Here is an 18087-nt window from a genome sequence, read left to right as displayed (position 1 = left end):
TCCTTCAACTTACCCCTCTGGATAATCTGTGGAGATTATTTATTTAGTATTTATTTCTACTAAATAAAACCACTGAGTCATCTCTTTAAATGACAATGACCTCAAGACATTGTTAAAGCCCTCCAGAGTTTCAGGCCCACATGGCCAGGGTGGAATTCTTCTATAAATGAGGCCTTAATCTGCTCAATGCTACATCTCTGAGAGGCTTATTACATGATGTGATATATTCCTAAGCAGGCAGGAAAACCAGTTTTCTGTGTATCAAATCCAGTTCAGAATAAACTAAGAAACTGATAATTTTTTTTAAGAAACCGGCAGCAGATTGCAAAATCATTTATAAGTTTATCATTTCTGTTGAGTGTAGGTTTTCAAAGAATTAAAGTGACGCGTGTCTGTGGGCTATTAGTGACAAAAGTTGGTGCCACTCAAGAATTTTCTGAGAAGATCTTTATTGAGGGCTATCTTAGACTTAACATCACCTAAATTCACTTTTTAATTTACTTGGCTCTCCCCAAATTTGCTCTGGGAATCACAAATTGATAGAAAAATAAAATTTTGCACTAGATTTTCAAATAACTTTATTTTGGTTTTAACATGACCTCAGCTAAAATAAAAAAGCAATCAGCCCATGAAATGTGAGAACAAGGACTACGTCGAAAGTCATTATTAATTTAAGACAAATTTTAACCTGATTTCATTATTCACCAGGATGAAACACTTCCTTAGCAGAACTTTTTTTTAAAGGTACTCTCATCCTAATATCCTGTTAAATTTATTTCCAACTCCTCAAAGTGACACAACGTATGTAACCATAGAAATCAAGCAGAAGAAAGTGCTTGTTAATGTGGAGACACTTTTCCTTGTGGGAGTGGGGCCATTTGGACAGTAATCATTAAATGAATCAGCAATGAAGAGCTCTTGAAATCATTTCAGCAGAGCAAATGTGCCAACATCACTCTGGGGGTAAAGAAATAAAATTTTAAGAGGACAAGAAAAAAGGTACTGACGCATGTTTTGTATGCTGACCACCGAATGAACAAGAAACCCTGAAGTTCCACACATTATTACATTTGCTGCTACACTGTCAACAGCAAGGTAGTTACGTTTCTTCTTCTCAATATCATGTTAGCCTTAGGCTTGAATCTTTGAGAAAGGAAATGGGTAGAGTGTAATAGATTACCATCTATTAATTCACACATGTATTCATTACCATGTGCAAAGTACCTTCTAGGTACTAGAAGGGCAAAATATGAACAAATCTCATCTCTGGCTTCTAAGGACTTACACATTATGCAGCCATTCAAAGCATCAATTAAGTGATCAGTTAAGTTTATCTGGTACCCAAGAATGACACTTATTATTCAATTACAACGGAAGAGTTCCTCTGCCCTCCTGGGAATAACTATTTAAACTCAGCCCTCAAAGAAGGTAAGAATCTTGTCCAGGGAAAACCTCAGTGCGTCAAATCCCATCCCAACGCTAATAAACTTTTTGGGCTTAAAAAAAAAAAATTGTGCTCTATGTGCATGTGTATCAATTAGAATAGACTAATATGACACAAACAAGTACTTATTGAACTTTTCAAATGTTCAAGAGATCTAATTATAAAGTTATAAAATGTTAACTCCAGAACAAAAGGCAATTCTATTATAATCATCATATAATTCTAATTAATATAATTAAATTCCATAATTTTTGTTACTCTTTTCTCTGCTTCCAAGTTCACCAGAAAGAACTGGCTTACCAAGGCACTCATCTCCAATCATTCTGTTGTCCATCTGCACTTCCAAGGTACCGTTTAGAATCCGAGCCAGATTTCCCTTCCAAACTAGTATGAGTCTGTGTTCCTATTGACACGGCATTCAGTGGGACTTCTAATAACATAACTTAAATCACATTACTTACTTTACTAGTTATTCATGATAATCATCATCTACCAAACATACACCATGAATCACACATACATTACCTCTCATTTAATAAGCACAAACTCCTATGAGAAAGGTAGTATTATTTCTATTTTATAAACGAGAAAACTCTGCCAGGAAAAGTTAAATTACTTATCCAAAAACCACAGCTAACAAGTAGCGCCAGTATTCAACCCTGTTGTAATTCCAAAGCCCCTACTGCTATACCATCTTCCTTAACAGAATTAGAAATAGACATTTTTTATAATGATCATAATGCATTCGAAGTCTAAATATAAAATTGCATATTATAATACATTGGGATTTATTTGCTTATGCCTCTGCTGCCTGTACTGTCAGGACAGACCTCATTATTCTTAACAACTCAAAGCTGGCTTTGTATCTACAGCTCATTGCCATTAAAAAGTATAATAGTAATAAAAGCAGAAAGCCAGATGCAAGACCCAAGTGTGACTTAGACCACAGCTGCCTCTAGTGCCCTCCCCCACCACCCAGCTTCAGCACCCTCTCTCTCTGTCTCCTTCCACCAGTTCCTATACCCATGACTCAGAGCTGGCACTCAGGAGCCATGAAGCACATTTGAGAGAACTGTTAGCCTGGGACCCTCATTTCCCAGCAACCCTGCCCCATCAAACTATCTTTGCAAAAGACAAGATTTCTGGACCCCAAAGAATTCATTTTGGCTGGGCGTGGTGGCTCACGCCTATAATCCCCAGCACTTTGGGAGGCTGAGGCAAGTGGATCACTTGAGCCCAGGAGTTCAAGACCAGCATGGGCAACATGGCAAAACTCCGTCTCTCCCAAAAGTAAAAAATCAATAAATAGCAGGGCATGGTGGTGTGGCTGTAGTCTCAGCGACTCAGGAGGCTAAGGTGGGAGAATCACCTGAGCCCAAGAGGTGGAGGCTGCAGTGAGCTGAAATCACACCACTCCAGTAGCACTCCAGGCTGGGAAATTGGAGTAAGACCCTATTTTTTAAAAAAATATTTAAAAAATCATTTTAAGGGTTATGTTTATCACCACAGCAAACATTTCTGGCTGATTTTCAAGTCTCATTCACTTTTAGATATCCATCTGTATGGTGTTTTGTTTGTTTTGTTTTTGTTTTTGTTTTTTTGAGACGGAGTCTCACTCTGTCACCCAGGTTGGAGTGCAGTGGCACGATCTCAGCTCACTGCAACCTCCGCCTCCTGGGTTCAAGCGTCAGCCTCCCGAGTAGCTGGGACTACAGGCACCCGACACCACGCCCGGCTAATTTTTTGTATTTTTAGTAGAGATGGGGTTTCACCATGTTAGCTAGGATGGCCTCGATCTCCTGACCTTGTGATCTGCCTGCCTTGGCCTCCCAAAGTGCTGGGATTACAGGCGTGAGCCACCGTGCCGGCCTATATGGTGTTTTGTTATGCAAATAATGTTGGTGTCTTTTAAAAAAGTGGATGATAAAGAAAATCAAGAAAATGAAAAGAAAAAAGTCTTCTATCATCTTGTCCTTTACACCATCACTGTTCAGGTATTTTAAAAACTAGATTTAAAAAAAATCACCGATGGGCGTGGTGGCTAATGCCTATAATCCCAGCACTTTGGGAGGCTGAGGTGGGTGGGTCACCTGAGATCAGGAGTTTGAGACCAGCTTGGCCAACATGGCAAAACCCCACCTCTACTAAAAATACAAAAATTAGCTGGACTTGGTGGCACGTGCCTGAAATCCCAGCTACTCGGGAGGCTGAGGCAGGAGAATCACTTGAACCCAGGAGGCGGAGGTTGCAGTGAGCGGAGATCATGCCATTGCACTCCAGCCCGGGCGACAAGAGCAAAACTCCATCTCAAAAAAAACATCACTTTAATCATACTGTGAATATAATTTACTATCTTTCCTATAATTGGGAAGGTATATTTTCAAGAGCATTTTTCCATATTTATCCTAAGCAATGATTTGAAAGGATACTTAATATTCTATTACTTGAATATACAGTACCAATCATCACTGAATCATTTCCCCCAAAACTGGAAAAGGATGTTTCCAATGTTTTTGCTGTTATGAATAAACCAGCAATGGGCAGGTTCATTGTGCAAAAATCTTCCTCCATATTCAAGATTACTTGCTTAGGGCCAATTCTCAAAAGCAGATTTGCTGGGTGAGAGGATAAACTGACTCTCAAAAGTCGAAATGATGATGGCAGCCACGATCATGGTGATGACAAAATTATTTTGGATGTACAAAAAAACTCAGAATGATGTAACACACACCCATGCACCCGCCACTAGACTGAAATTTAATGGTGGAAATTCAAGACCCAGGAAGCAAATGCAGAAATACCTCAGGAGCTCCATCACCACTGCACAAGCAGGTGCAAAACTTAACTCTGAAAAGCCTAGAAATGTACAGGTTAAGTCTCCAGGCAAGGAGAGGAAGGAGCCTCACCACCTCCCTTTCATCAGCACTTCCCTGAGTTTTCATTAGCACATACAGCAGGGATTAAAAGGATCTGGGTTGGCTGCCAGCTTAAGATTGAATGAGAATGATCTCAGTTTTAATGAAGCCCTTTCTGCATATATAAACTGAAAAGAAAAAAAAATGTGTTCAATGAGAAAATCTGACCTCTAGGAATGTGGAGATTATTGTTAGCAAATGCCACGAAATGTGCTTATTGTGAAATTCAGTTTTTCAGAAAATACCACATGCCAAAGATCATTTCCACGTTCACTCTGTTTTCGCCCCCTCGAGCAACGAGAGTTCATCATAGGATGACAAAATGTAACGATGTATAGGAAAGCAAATACCTTGTTAGGATGCTGAAAACAAGTAGAAAATAACCATCAATAACAGTAAAAATGATGTTCTCCCCTGATTGTACTAGAAGATACAAAGAAATATCACAAAAAGGCAAAAGCATAAATGAAAATTAAATTTGTTTGATCATCCTTTTGCAGAGGAAAAAAAAGTACTTTATTTATGTGCAAGGCAATATCATCTTTTAATAGCTACAGGACACATTACTATTATCCTGCTGCTTCTCGGCTGGAGAAATAGGATTAATGGCCTAAGAGGGAAGAGCTTAAACTGATTAGTCAAGTAGGCAGTCCGAGGCCAAATATGCAGGAAAAGGGGGCAGCCCTGTTTTCTGTGAGCCAATGTCCTGCAGAGGAAAAAACCTGGGTGAACCAAGGCTGGTCCAGGACCTTAGACGGCAACTTAAATGAAGAGGGGTTTTAATCTTCTATTTTCAAAATATACTCCAAATGACAGAGACCAGACTTACATTGGCTCCCAACACAGCTTAGATCCTACAAAGCCGTTTCAGAATGGCCACCATTCATCCATTTACACCACCAACAGTATTGATTAAACCACTACCATGCTCAGCATCCTGTATGCAGAGGTGAGGACCCAGAGCCTGCCTGCATGGAGCAGAGCTGCATGTATTTAATTATTCTGTCTGGTAAGAACCCTAAATGTACATGACTCATAACAAAAATAATTCTTTCTTAAGTTTGAGTCCTGGTGTGCTGGGTTGGAATTATCTTTGAGATCACTGCAGACCAATTCCTTCATTCTGCAAAAGAAACAATGGACTCTGGAGATACACACCAACCAACTCAAGGACACAATTCAGGAAGAAACAATGTTCGCGTCTGCGATCCTAGCCACGAGCTCTCTCAACAAAACAGATGACACAAACTTATTTGAAGGAATCTGATTCCCAAATCATAAAATTTCAAGATAAACTACATGACGTGTGCGATGGTGATCCTTGCCAGCAAAGTAGCATAAAACCTGTCTCTGACATTCTAACTCAGGACTAAGGAGGCAATTCTAGAAGCTGAGAAAGCAGCATCCGTGAAAAAAAAAAAGTTCCCAGTGACTGAGGCTGCTCTGAGAGCTGAAGCAAGATACCTGTTTGCAGCCCACCAGGGCTATAAAACACAGAGCAAGCCACAAAAATCTCAGACCATCTTAATTCCTTCATTTCCAAATTATTTTCTACACACTGTTTCTATTGGGGGAATTCTTTGGTGCTTTCTTTGAGAAAGAGTCTTGCTCTGTCGCCCAGGCTGGAGTGCAATGGCCCGATCTTGGCTCACTGCAACCTCCGCCTCCCGGGTTCAAGCAATTCTCCCGCCTCAGCCTCCTGAATAGCTGGGATTACAGGAGCAGGCCACCACACCCGGCTAATTTTTGTATTCTTAGTAGAGACGGGGTTTCACCATGTTGGCCAGGCTGGTCTTGAACTCTTCACCTCAGGTGATCCACCCGCCTCAGCCTCCCAAAGTGCTGGGATTACAGGTATGAGTCACCATGCCCAGTGCCTTGGTGCTTTCAAAACAGAAGTCGGAAGGGAAAGCAAACTCCTTTTCTGAATCAAATCACCTGATTATATCTGCCGTCTAAAGGATACCTATCATAAAATTCGGCACACAGCCCAAATAGAAGGTTACCAAAAGCAATCAGAAAAATTAAAGATTAGGATCAAAATGAGTCATCAAAAATGGTTAAGCTTCACCAAAATGTGCAGAAAGATCTGCTTGTGCTGCACTTAATGGAAAGGATTTCAAATGTTAAATCTAGGACATACCCCTTTAACCAGGGGACTTTATTAGTTTAATGCAAATCATAGCCACCCAGCTGTGTAGTAGATCTCTGGAGTGCATGGCATAAAAAGAACCTATCTTCATTGCAACCAGGTAGTTGGTTGACAATTAGCAATAACTCTTGACAGACTAAAACGTCTAACAGGATATTAAAAACAGATACCGAAGAAATACATAGAAATATAAATGGCTGGATAAAATTATTTCATCTCTGAAAAATCAAGAACACCCTTCATATACCATTCTTCGCCACTTCCCTCCTCCCCAAACCCTAAAATAATACAACTCAGGCCGGGCACGGTGGCTCATTCCTGTAATCCCAGCACTTTGGAAGGTAGAGGCGGGCGGATCACAAGGTCAGGAGTTCAAGACCAGCCTGGTCAACATGGTGAAACCCCGTCTCTACCAAAAATACAAAAATTAGCTGAGTGTGGTGGCACGCACCTGTAGTCCCAGCTACTCGGGAGGCTGAGGCAGGAGAATCACTTGAACCCAGGAGACGGAGGTTGCAGTGAGCTGAGATTGCGCCACTGCACTCCAGCCTGGCAACAGAGAGAGACTCCATCTCAAAAAAAAAAAAAAAAAAAAAAAACCTCAAAAAACACCACAAATTCAAGATGCTCTTTTTTCTCCTGATATTCTTTCCCTTTCATCTGCCCTAAAGCTAACCAGAAGAATGTCAACCGCCTCAGCAGAATTATCACTTAGCCCTGCAGCAGAGAACTCCTGGGCTGTCTGCAGAGCCCATGCCCTGCTCTTGATAGTTCATTTCATGGTCACAGAAAAGCCTCCAGGCCTCAGATAGTACATTTCATGATCACAGAAAAGCCTCCAGGCCTCAGGAAGACACTGATGAGTTCCCTCAAAAGGCAGAGCAGAAAATAATTAGAAATAAAGGAAATAGGGTACTGTCCGGACCCTATGGCTTGCTCTGAGTTTTGTAGCCCTACTAGACTATTTCCAGAACCTTGAAATAGCTTCCAGACTCTGGGATCTCACGTCAGCCCTCTAAGCCACATTTATTCCCCAGCCCCATTCCCATGAGCAGAGTTCATTGGACTTGGGTAGACAGCTGACCACATTGGGCCAACCAAATTCTTCCTCAGGAATTTAAACAGAGACTTGTGTCTGTCTGCATTTGAACTTGAAGGCAGAGGTATGCTCACGACGTGACACTGCCAGTTTAGACCCTAAGAGCAGGGAAGTGGAGGAAGCCCAACCACTGCCACAGAGAACGAATCTGATACTGGGAGAGAAGCACGGGTGAGTCCCAGGGTTCTCGGGGTGAAAGAGCAGTGCCTTGGCTCCTGGTATTGCCCTAGTCCTGGTTCCAGACTCCCTTGTAGCCTGGCAGCATTTCCTGCCCTTCTCCCCATAAACCACCCTGTGAATCCTTATACAAATTCTACTTTTATGGTTTACGCTGGTTTGAGTAGGCATTTATTATTTGTAACCAATAAGATATAGTCACATGTTTAATCGTTTAAAAAGTTAATATTTAATGATTTATAACCCCAGGAGAATAGCTTATAGCACACATTTCTTTAGCAGCACATACTAAAATGTATTTGTTTCCAATGTCAAAATCTATTTTTTATGTTTCCCAATAGCCCTTTCTAAACACAGCCACATATAGGGTATTAGTACTCACTCTCCCTGGCCTACGGGATGAGCTCTCGAATCTAAAAACCTTGGGTGAAACATTTTACTTTCAGATCTTCAAACTGAGGAAAGAGTCTCACAGACTAAAACACATACCATAGGAACCAACACAATGCCAGGAACACTTGCTCAGGACTCAGAAACGGGGGCACCAAAACTGGGCTGGAGTTTAGGTAATAGCCACTAGCCATGGCAGTCCCTGCCCTGTCAGTTGGCACGCGCCCATAGCCTGAAGGAGGAAGTAAAATCAGAACAGTGCTAACACTTCATGGTTTTCCTGGCCAGGAAATTCGGCTGTACTCATTCAAGCATCCACCCATTCCACATTCACTGCATACCCACTCCCCACTACATACCAAGCTCAGCACCACACGATGGGGAATACTGGGGTGATTATGACAGACCCTGTCCACTCAGAGTTTCTTCCATCAAACATTCACACTTTAGTAAGACAGAGGAAACTGGCACACAGACAATTACATTGTACTGCAGTCCATGATAAAACGAGAAGTGTGGCAGATCGCAGCAATGCAGAGAAAGAACGCTGCGAGTTCCACACATTGAAAGGGAGGGAGGAAACCAGAGTCAACTAAACATGCCTCTGGACTGTGCATTTGCACACGAATGCTCATGGAAGGCTAGGGACCGTCAAAAACTGGTCCCAGGCTAGTCACGGTGCCTCACGTCTGTAATCCCAGCAGTTTGGGAGGCCAAGGCAAGCAGATTGCTTGAGCCCAGGAGTTCAAGGCCAGCCTGGGCAACACAGCAAAACCCCATCTCTACCAAGGGGAAAAAAAAATTAGCCAGGTGTGGTTGTGTGCACCTATAGTCCCAGCTACTTGGGAGGCTGAGGTGGGAGGATCGCTTAAGCCTGGGAGGTCAAGGGTGCAGTGAGCCACGACGGTGCCACTGCACTGCAGCCTGGGTGAGAGAGTAAGATCCTGTCTCAAAAAAGATTAAAAAAAATAATAAAACTGGCCCCAAACACAAATGAACAGAATTCCAAAAATGGAAAATAACATAATTTTAGATTTTTATTTCCATTTTCTGTTTCCTTTAGGAAAGGGAAACAGAAGTGGTCTCCCCTGTAATCAATCCCTCCCTGTCTCCTGTGGGTCCACGGACACCCACATGAAAGACCCCAGCTCCCTGCCTGGGTGAGCCCCGGGCAGGACTGACCACTCAGACGGCTCATTTGGTCACACCTTTCCTGAGCCCTTCCTCTCAGATCAGAATTGCCTGTTACCTACACCGAGCATCCAAGCTCGTTTTCCAACATGTGAAAAGCCAGTTTCCAAAGGAAAAAGGAAAAAAATAAAAAGGCACTGTTACCACCAATTTATCCCCTCATTTGTAACCAGGCTGAGCTGTAAGCAGACCCCTGCCAGCACCTGAAAGGCCATCGCTCTGAGGACACTAGCCCGAGCTTTAGTTACAATATCTTTTTTCACTGCCCATTAGGTGCTCAGCTGCCCCCTCTCTCCTTTCCCCACACACGCCGGCTCCTAGGGTGGACTTTTTTTTTAACCTCTGTAACTAAATAACCTGATAACGCCATGTGATAAGGGAATGGTGGCCTAAAAACCCTAAGTTTCCAATTCCAGCAGCCATGGCTCCATTTTCATGTTTCACACACAGAAGACATTAACGAAGGCCCTAAAAATAAGAGACACTGGAGGCAGCCAAAGAGACACCTAACACTCAATCAAAGCCGTGCAAGTGAGGAGAGCAGTTTTTGGGAGCCAGGCCAAACACTGTTCTATTGGAGGAATGAATTTTGTGTTTGTGCGCAGTCAGCAGCCCAGAGGAGATGTGAGAATACAGGACCTGGACAACTAAAGGCCCGGGAAAACCCTCTCTGTCCTGCCAGAGTCTACCGCATGGGCAAACACTCCATACCCAAACTGTTCAAAAGGGATGACTTATTTCTTCCATGCAAAAGGCCAGAAGAAAAATGAAAAGCCAGAAGGAGAGAGGAAACAAGGGTGTGATGGTTTCTTTGCAAACCTCTACTGCGGAACAGCTCCATACTCACCAAGCCAGGTCTACACAGCAGGCCTGGTTTAGTGTTGGCTACTGGTTTTCCATCCCTAAGACATGTGCAACCTTGCCAAATGCGGGGGGTAGCAGGGTAGGCAGGCAGCATATTCATCCTCAGGGGAGAACAGCAAAAGCCCAGAAGGAATTTTAATTTCTCTTATAAAACAAAAATCTCAAGACAAAAACTTTACTGCCAAACTTTACATGGAAAGCAAAAATAAACTATTTGCTTTATACCTGCTGCCACAGGTATGAAATATTTTATTAGATGACTGTCCACTCACCATTAGGCTGACTCTCAAATTATGGACAGGAAGAGAGCAAACCGTTCACTTGATGGACGCAGCTAAGATGAACACTCAGCTGCTCACATTGTGTTCAGGTTCTGGTGCATTTTGAACACTTCGTAAGAGAAATTACTGAAGCTCTTAATAACAAACTTGCCTTCCAGAACAGAAAGGTTTTATGAAAAAATCCTCAACCAAACCCTTGATACATTCTCAGTTAAATGCTATACTAAAAGTTCTCAGGAAGTCTCTATTTTGGAGACCTGTAATTTTTAACCGTATAGTTTGGTTGCTGCTGACTAAAGCTGAGAGTAATTTTACAACTCCATTATCCACATGTGGATGACTCATTTGTTAGATTAGCCTAACTTCCAGCTGCCCTCCCCCTCTGCTGTTCAACCTGCTGCTGGATAATGTTCCAACTGCCTGCTCTAAGAGGCTGAAAGTATGCAAACCCATCTTAACACAACACAGAGACAAAATGAGATAGTGGTGTTGACTATGTTTTGAATGCATTTCTCCAAGACAAATAAGAGTTTTGGATTGATGCACTGTTTTGGGCAATTGGCACAATTTCACTTTATTAGTATGAATTTTAATGTGATGTTTCTAACCTCTTAAATCAAAGTGTGCCTCAAAGTATGCTCCACAAACCCTTAAGGGTCCTCATGATCAAACCACTTTAATGATAATACTGAGCCACTATTTGCCTTTTTCCTTGTGTTGACGTTTGCACTGATGGTGCAAGAGCAATGGTGGTGTGACAGCAGGAACCTTAGCCTGAGTCAAGGTGACAGTGCCAGGCGGTACTAGCAGGAATTATGTTCTTCCCACCATGAAATCCCAGGGGCTTTTTGTTGTCTTTTATGCCAGTTTCATTTAAGAAAGTCTCGATGAAGCATTAACAATTATTGATTCTGGGCCAGGCATGGTGGCTCACACCTATAATCACAGCACTTTACGAGGCCAAGGCAGGTGGATCACATGAGGCCAGGAGTTGGAGACCAGCCTGGCAAACATGGTGAAACCCCATCTCTACTAAAACTATAAAAATTAGCCGGGCGTGGTGGCGTGTGCCTGTAATCCCAGCTACTCATAAGTCTGAGGCAGTAGAATCGCTTGAACCCAGGAGGTGGAGGTTGCAGTGAGCTAAGACTGGGCCACTGCACTCCAGCCTGGGCACAGAGCAAGACTTTGTCTCAAAAAAAAAAAAAAAAAAAGGTTCAGAATTCTGAGTAAATATTCTGACACATAAAGCATTTGGCTACACTCCAGGGATGAGGGCTGTCTTGAGCTGAGCAGCCACTCTCTCCATGAAACACCACTTTGACTCAAAAGAACAACTACAATATGGTTGCTTAGACTTGGATATTTGGCAGATACTTTTTTGAAATACAATAAAGTTTTCCAAGTGAAAAACACAATCTTAGAAAATGTGCATCTACCGTCAGCTTGACGGCTTCCTAATAATACTTAAAGGCTCTTTGATGAGACTGATGGTGATACTAATAATTGTGACTTTTTTGATGTTGAATAATGAAATGTGTCAACATTTAGAAGAACCTGCAGAACTCAATGAAATAGTGTTTTCCAAACTAAAGAATGCGGTCACACCAACACATAAAAGAGCCATTCAACACATAAGATGGACCAATATGAAACACAGACACGGTTTCATTCTCTACCTTGCAACCAACCTTTGAGAAACTTACTTGCCAACGACCACTATCAAAAGTATCAAAGAATATCTCCAGTTACGTGAAAAAGCTATTAAAATATTCCCTCCTTTTTTCAATTACATATATGTGTTAGACATACACTTCAACCAAAACATATCACAACAGATTGAAGCAGAAGCAGCTGAGAGTCCAACTATGTTTTATTTAAGTCAGACAGAAGAGGGATGTAAAACACCACTCTTCCCACTAAATTTTTTTTGTTAGGGAAAATGTCCTTTTTCATAAAATTATGTAGTTTGTGTAACTGTATAAAGGGATTACTATTACTATTTTAAATCAATTAATAAATCTTTAAAATCTCTCATCTTAAATTTCTAATATGACCAATATCAGTAGATAAAATCTATGTAAATAAAACTCTTTAGAGTCCCCAATAATTTTTTTTTTTTTTTTAGATGGAGTCTTGCTCTGTCACCCAGGCTGGAGTGCAGTGGCATGATCTTGGCTCCCTGCAACCTCCGCCTCCCGCGTTCAAGTGATTCTCCTGCCTCAGCCTCTGGAGTAGCTGGGATTACAGGTGTGAGCCACCACGCCCAGCTAATTTTTTGTATTTTTAGTAGAGATGGGGTTTAACCATGTTGGCCAGGGCTGGTCTCGAACTCCTGACCTCAAGTGATCTGCTTGCCTCGGCCTCCCAAAGTGCTGGGATTACAAGCGTGAGTCACTGCACCAAAAGCCATCCTAAGAACTAGTGCCTTAATCTATACTAAAAAATTCAACATGTCAACTCTATTTAATATTTTCAAATAAAAATGGATTTCCAGTATCATAGGACATAATATTTCTAATAAGCTTGGCTTTTTAAAACATATACTTTGTTGATATGCCCAGGGATCATCTCTTAGGATCTGTAGTTTTCATACTAAAATCCACCCAACAGCCAGGCACAGTGGCGCAAACCTGTAAAACCAACCACTTGGGAGGCTGAAGCAAGAAGCTTGAGCCCAAGAGTTCAAAAGTCCATCCCGGGCAATATAGCAAGACTCTGTCTCTAATTTTTTTTTTTTAATTTAAAAAAGATATCTCAGCAGGGCGTGGTGGCTCAGGCCTGTAATCTTAGCACTTTGGGAGGCCAAGGTGGGCAGATCACTAGGTCAGGAGATCGAGACCATCCTAGCTAACACGGTGAAACCCTGTCTCTACTAAAAACACAAAAAAATTAGCCAGGCGTGGTGGCACGTGCCTGTAGTCCCAGCTACTCGAGAGGTTGAGGCAGGAGAATCGCCTGAACCCAGGAGGTGGAAGTTGCAGTGAGCTGAGATAGTGCCACGTGCGCACTCCAGCTTGAGTGACAGAGTGAAACTCCATCTCAAAAAAAAAAAAAAAGCAAAAAAAGATAACGCAATAGCTTATCTTTTACTGGCACTCAGTCATTCACTCAGAATGTAGTTACTGAGCACCTTCCAGATGATGCTAGAAATATCAGCAACACTGCCCTCATGGACATTATGTTCCAGTGGCATTCATCCATCATCTACTTAGGTATTCGTTCAATGAAATTAATTAGCCATCTATTATATGCCAGGCACTGTGCTTGGTCTAGGAATCAAAATGTTGATACACCTAACTGCATTTTTTATTAGGGCTATAAATTCCATTTTCAAATGTTTTCAAAATTTTTGCTCATTTCCAAATTTCCTTGAAGTTCAGAGAGATTTCTTCATCCTCAATCTGAAGGCTACTGCTTCTATATATTTTTCCTGCCTGCAATTTTACGATGAAATAACTCAAGTTTTAAGGTAAGAGAAATAAGTCAATAATCAGGACTGTCGTACAGTCAGCCACCTCCCTGACACTGACTTTTTCATTTCCATGATAAAAAAAGGAAAATGGTCCCTGACCCTGGAGCTCCAGGAAAGCCAGCTTCCAGCACTTTGTGAAGGGAATGCATCCCTCGGGAGGCTCAAGAGAACTGGAAGCTGCCTCTATTGGCAGGATGACCCGGGATGACACGGATTTCCTTATAAAACTAATTAGGCAAGTGATGGCATATATAAACACTACTCTGAAAGTCATTAAAGCAAGATTCCAGAGGAAACTGAAAGATAATTGTCCATTAGTTACACAGGCTGAACATAAATGATTGCTTCAGAAATTCAACTTCCTAACAAGGTTTTCTAATTCAATCACAATTTAAATACACACACACACACACAAAAGTAGCTAGAAAACTGGTGTAGGAAGTAATGGTGGTAACATATAAATCTCAAATGTGTGAATTGATAACAATTCTGTAATCCTGTGTATTTTGCTATTTCCAAAGCAAGATAAGGTATAAGAGTTCCTAAGAAAATCCAGCAATAGAGGGTGCGGGGGAAAGGGTATTTAGTTTGCAAAAGAAATAGGAGACAAATGAGAAAAATAAAAAGGGTAATCCTTGATTCTGAGCATATGCAGGGGCATTACATAAAACAGGCTTGATCATACTGCAATAGGTATATTCGTTCTTTCAGTAAAAATCTGAATGCACAATGTGTGATACAAAGTACAGGCATGAGGTGTGGCGGCACGTGCCTGCATTCCCAGCTACTTGGGAGACTGAGGCAGGAGAATCACTCGAACCCAGGAGGTGGAAGTTGCAGTGAGCCGAGATCGCGCAAGTGCACCCCAGCCTGGGTGACAGAGTGGGACTCCATCTCAAAATAAATAAAAGTAGAGTATAGGTATGACTTCTGCCAACCAGCAGGACTTGTCAATATCTGTGACAAAAAGAAAGCTCTGGAGTCAAAGAGCCTTGATTCAAATCACAGTTCTGCCACTTACTAGCTACCATTTACTTACATTTCTAAGCCTCAGTTTCCTCATCTCTAAAATAAGGATGCCAACACTAACTTTACAGGGATGATTATGTAACTTAGCCAGCATGGGGATAGGCTAATAACAACTAACTGTTTTTTTGTTGTTGTTGTTGTTGTTTGTTTTTTGTTTTTGGTACAGATGGGTTTCACCATGTTGGCCAGCCTGATCTCAAGCTCCTGAGCTCAAGCTATCTGCCCGCCTCAGCCTCCCAAAGTGCTGGGATTACAGGCGTGAGCCACAGCGCCCGGCACAGCTAGCTGTTTCTATTGGAAAAGCTAAACAGCATAGTCAAAAAAACATAAAAATAAAGCCAAGAAATAGTACATGCACAATTACCGCTAAAGGAATTAAGAGACTGAATGATCATTTTGGTCTTAGGTGGTCAGAAAAGACCATGCTGGGAAAATGGCTCCTAGGAGCACTTCAAACTCCCTTCTAAAATGCCGAATAGGAAATTTCCATTCATCGATACTGTTCTTCTGCTTTACGAGCCTATGACAATTATTTATTGAATGGTCACTGTGACTGAACATACTTAGTCAGTGGTTCTTAATTTTTCTTGAGCCAAGGCCCCCCTGGAAAGCCTAATGAAAAATATGGAAGGAACCTCTCCCCAGAAAATGCTGCTGACAATTTTTTTTTTCCTCTAAGTTAGGGAGGGATGGGGCCCAAGACACCCACTCATGAGCCCTCACTGAAAACATACAATGGTAGGCATCATGGTGCTATCAATTTTAAAATGAAGCCCAAGGTCACCTGGTCCAGCCTCATGATTCAGATGATTCAGACATAAACAAACATCAAGTTCCTCTTCCATCATGCCTTATCTCAGCAAATGGATTGCCATCCATCCTATTGTGCAAGCTCAGAACCTACAAGTCACCCTGGATACTCCCTGTCCTTCAACCCCCCCTTTATATCTAATCTTCCACTAAGTCTAGTCCATTTTTCAAGTACAGCCTCTTAAGTCCACCTCCCCACCTCCTCCGTCCAAGTCGCCATCACTTTCAGGGATGGCTGTTCAGCAGTACCCAACTGGTATAGTCTCACTCACTCCAGTCTCCCTCCAATCCGGTCTCTGCACAGCAGGCCAAATGAACTTCTAAACCTGATCATAACAAAACCAGCTTCCCCTACCCCATACTCACTTACACCACTTCAATAGCTTTCCATGAAAACCGAAAACCAACCAAATGAGGGAAACTCTGTTTGAAAGGAAGTTAGGCCATTCAGTGATGGATAACAAAGAGTGATATGGCCCCAGAATAGACAAGGGGGGAAGAAAGTGATAGAGAAAAAGCTAAGCATGGCAGAGAGGAAATGGATTAAGTACCAAAAATTATGAACAGCCCACAGTGTATATTCCCAGCAACTTAGGAAATCAAGTACTAGTAGTAACTTGGTACTTAAATTACTTAAACTTATATGCATAAAATGACATATAACCTATGGTCAGCACGGTAAACCAAACAAGATGCTCCCTCTCCCCTAATTTTGGAAATTAAAACTACAAAAAAAAAAATTATTCAGGTTCTCAACATCCAAAATTATCTACTTTAAACATCTTGGCATATTATGCTTCTTTTTTAAAAAAAGAAATAGAGAATTTATGCAATGCAGAGTAGAAAGACAAATGTAAAAATAAATCAACTCAAATGCCAACACACAGAAATAATATCATTAACACTAAGCAAAAACCATTCTAGCCATCTTTCTATGAACAAGGATGGATGACAAGTAATCTTTATGAAAATGGGAACATGTTCCACATGCTATTTTCACTTCTGATATAATTTTTCTTGACTCTAACAAAATAAAATTAATGAAATTTCAGATTAAGAGATGGTGAAAATATTTAAAAAGCTGAAGCAATTTTTTTGAACAATGCTTTTGTTTTAGACAGAATCAGTTAAATCTACTATCAAAGATGTGGACACCAGCATGCTTATACCTTCTCTTACTTTTCCTCTCTCTGCCTCCAGACTTTGGCTCTGTTACACTATTTTTATAGTTTCTAGGTGTATAACTTTGACATTCTGTCCTGTCCCCATAATTCCCTTGCTTGGCATTAGTTATATCTACATTCAAATAGGTTCAGATGCTCACCCTGCCTCCCAAAGTTTTCTCCATCTCTGAATTTATTATTATTATTATTATTATTATTATTATTATTATTATTATTTATTTTATTTTATTTTTTTTGAGATGGAGTCTCACTCTGCTGCTCAGGCTGGAGTGCAATGGCCTGATCTCGGCTCACTGCAACCTCCGCCTCCTGCATTCAAGCAATTCTCCTGCCTCAGCCTCCTGAGTAGCTGGGATGACAGGCATGCGCCACCACGTCCACCTGATTTTTGTATTTTTAGTAGAGACGGGGTTTCACCAAGTTGGCTAGGATGGTTTCAAACTCCTGACCTTGTGATCTGCCTGCCTCGGCCTCCCAAAGTGCTGGGATTACAGGCATGAGCCACCGCGCCCCGCCATGATTTGGCTTTTAATTGAATAGACTTCAACACTCCCTCAAAAGTAGGGACCACAACTGACTTAGTCGCTGGTGTGTCCTTGGTGTCTGTGTGCAGCAGGTGCTCCAGAAACATTTGCAGAATGGCTGAATTTATAAATGCAGAACAGTGTCAAGATAGCTTATAACCTATCAAACCACTTATATCTATGACTCAGGATAATACAAAAATCTTGAATTCCTTGCATAAGAGCTGTAAGAAAATAATTCACTAGAAATCTTTATCACAATTTTATAAGCCTTTCTTGGTAAACTGCAAAGGTATAAGGATATATAAATGTTTACAGTAACATGCAAAATACATGTTTATTCACATAAATGAAAGAGAAACAGTATTCTAAAGATAACCAGGGTAAAAGTTCAATCTCAAATTCTAAGCTGCTATCGCACTGTGCTGGGAGCATACCTGCATGGTCAAGTACCTAGTTAATTATTAGTGATTGATTACCATTTATGAAACATCTGAAAACAGTCCCTTTCTTTCTTTGAGTACTCCTTACTCAAAACCGTAGGATTGTTTG

At 41.4% G+C, this 18087-nt stretch overlaps 1 protein-coding gene across 8 annotated transcripts in view, besides 3 other annotated features; it reads right to left on the bottom strand.

The window, feature by feature from the left end:
- Positions 1-18087, bottom strand: part of PRKCA (protein kinase C alpha) — a 508131-nt gene that overhangs the window by 451075 nt on the left and 38969 nt on the right. The gene's annotated exons all lie outside the window — the stretch shown is intronic.
- Positions 10784-11078: an enhancer, noted in NCBI's record as "tiled region #10613; K562 Activating DNase unmatched - State 5:Enh". NCBI's record gives its function as "activates a minimal TATA promoter and a strong SV40 promoter by Sharpr-MPRA in K562 cells {active_cell/tissue: K562}" and the evidence as "EXISTENCE:reporter gene assay evidence [ECO:0000049][PMID:27701403]".
- Positions 13444-13738: an enhancer, noted in NCBI's record as "tiled region #4334; K562 Activating DNase matched - State 5:Enh". NCBI's record gives its function as "activates a minimal TATA promoter and a strong SV40 promoter by Sharpr-MPRA in K562 cells {active_cell/tissue: K562}" and the evidence as "EXISTENCE:reporter gene assay evidence [ECO:0000049][PMID:27701403]".
- Positions 13444-13738: a silencer, noted in NCBI's record as "tiled region #4334; HepG2 Repressive non-DNase unmatched - State 7:EnhWF". NCBI's record gives its function as "represses a minimal TATA promoter and a strong SV40 promoter by Sharpr-MPRA in HepG2 cells {active_cell/tissue: HepG2}" and the evidence as "EXISTENCE:reporter gene assay evidence [ECO:0000049][PMID:27701403]".

Source organism: Homo sapiens, chromosome 17, assembly GCF_000001405.40.
Source record: "Homo sapiens chromosome 17, GRCh38.p14 Primary Assembly".
Lineage (NCBI taxonomy): Eukaryota > Metazoa > Chordata > Mammalia > Primates > Hominidae > Homo > Homo sapiens.
This window is presented reverse-complemented; position numbering and strand designations above follow the sequence as displayed.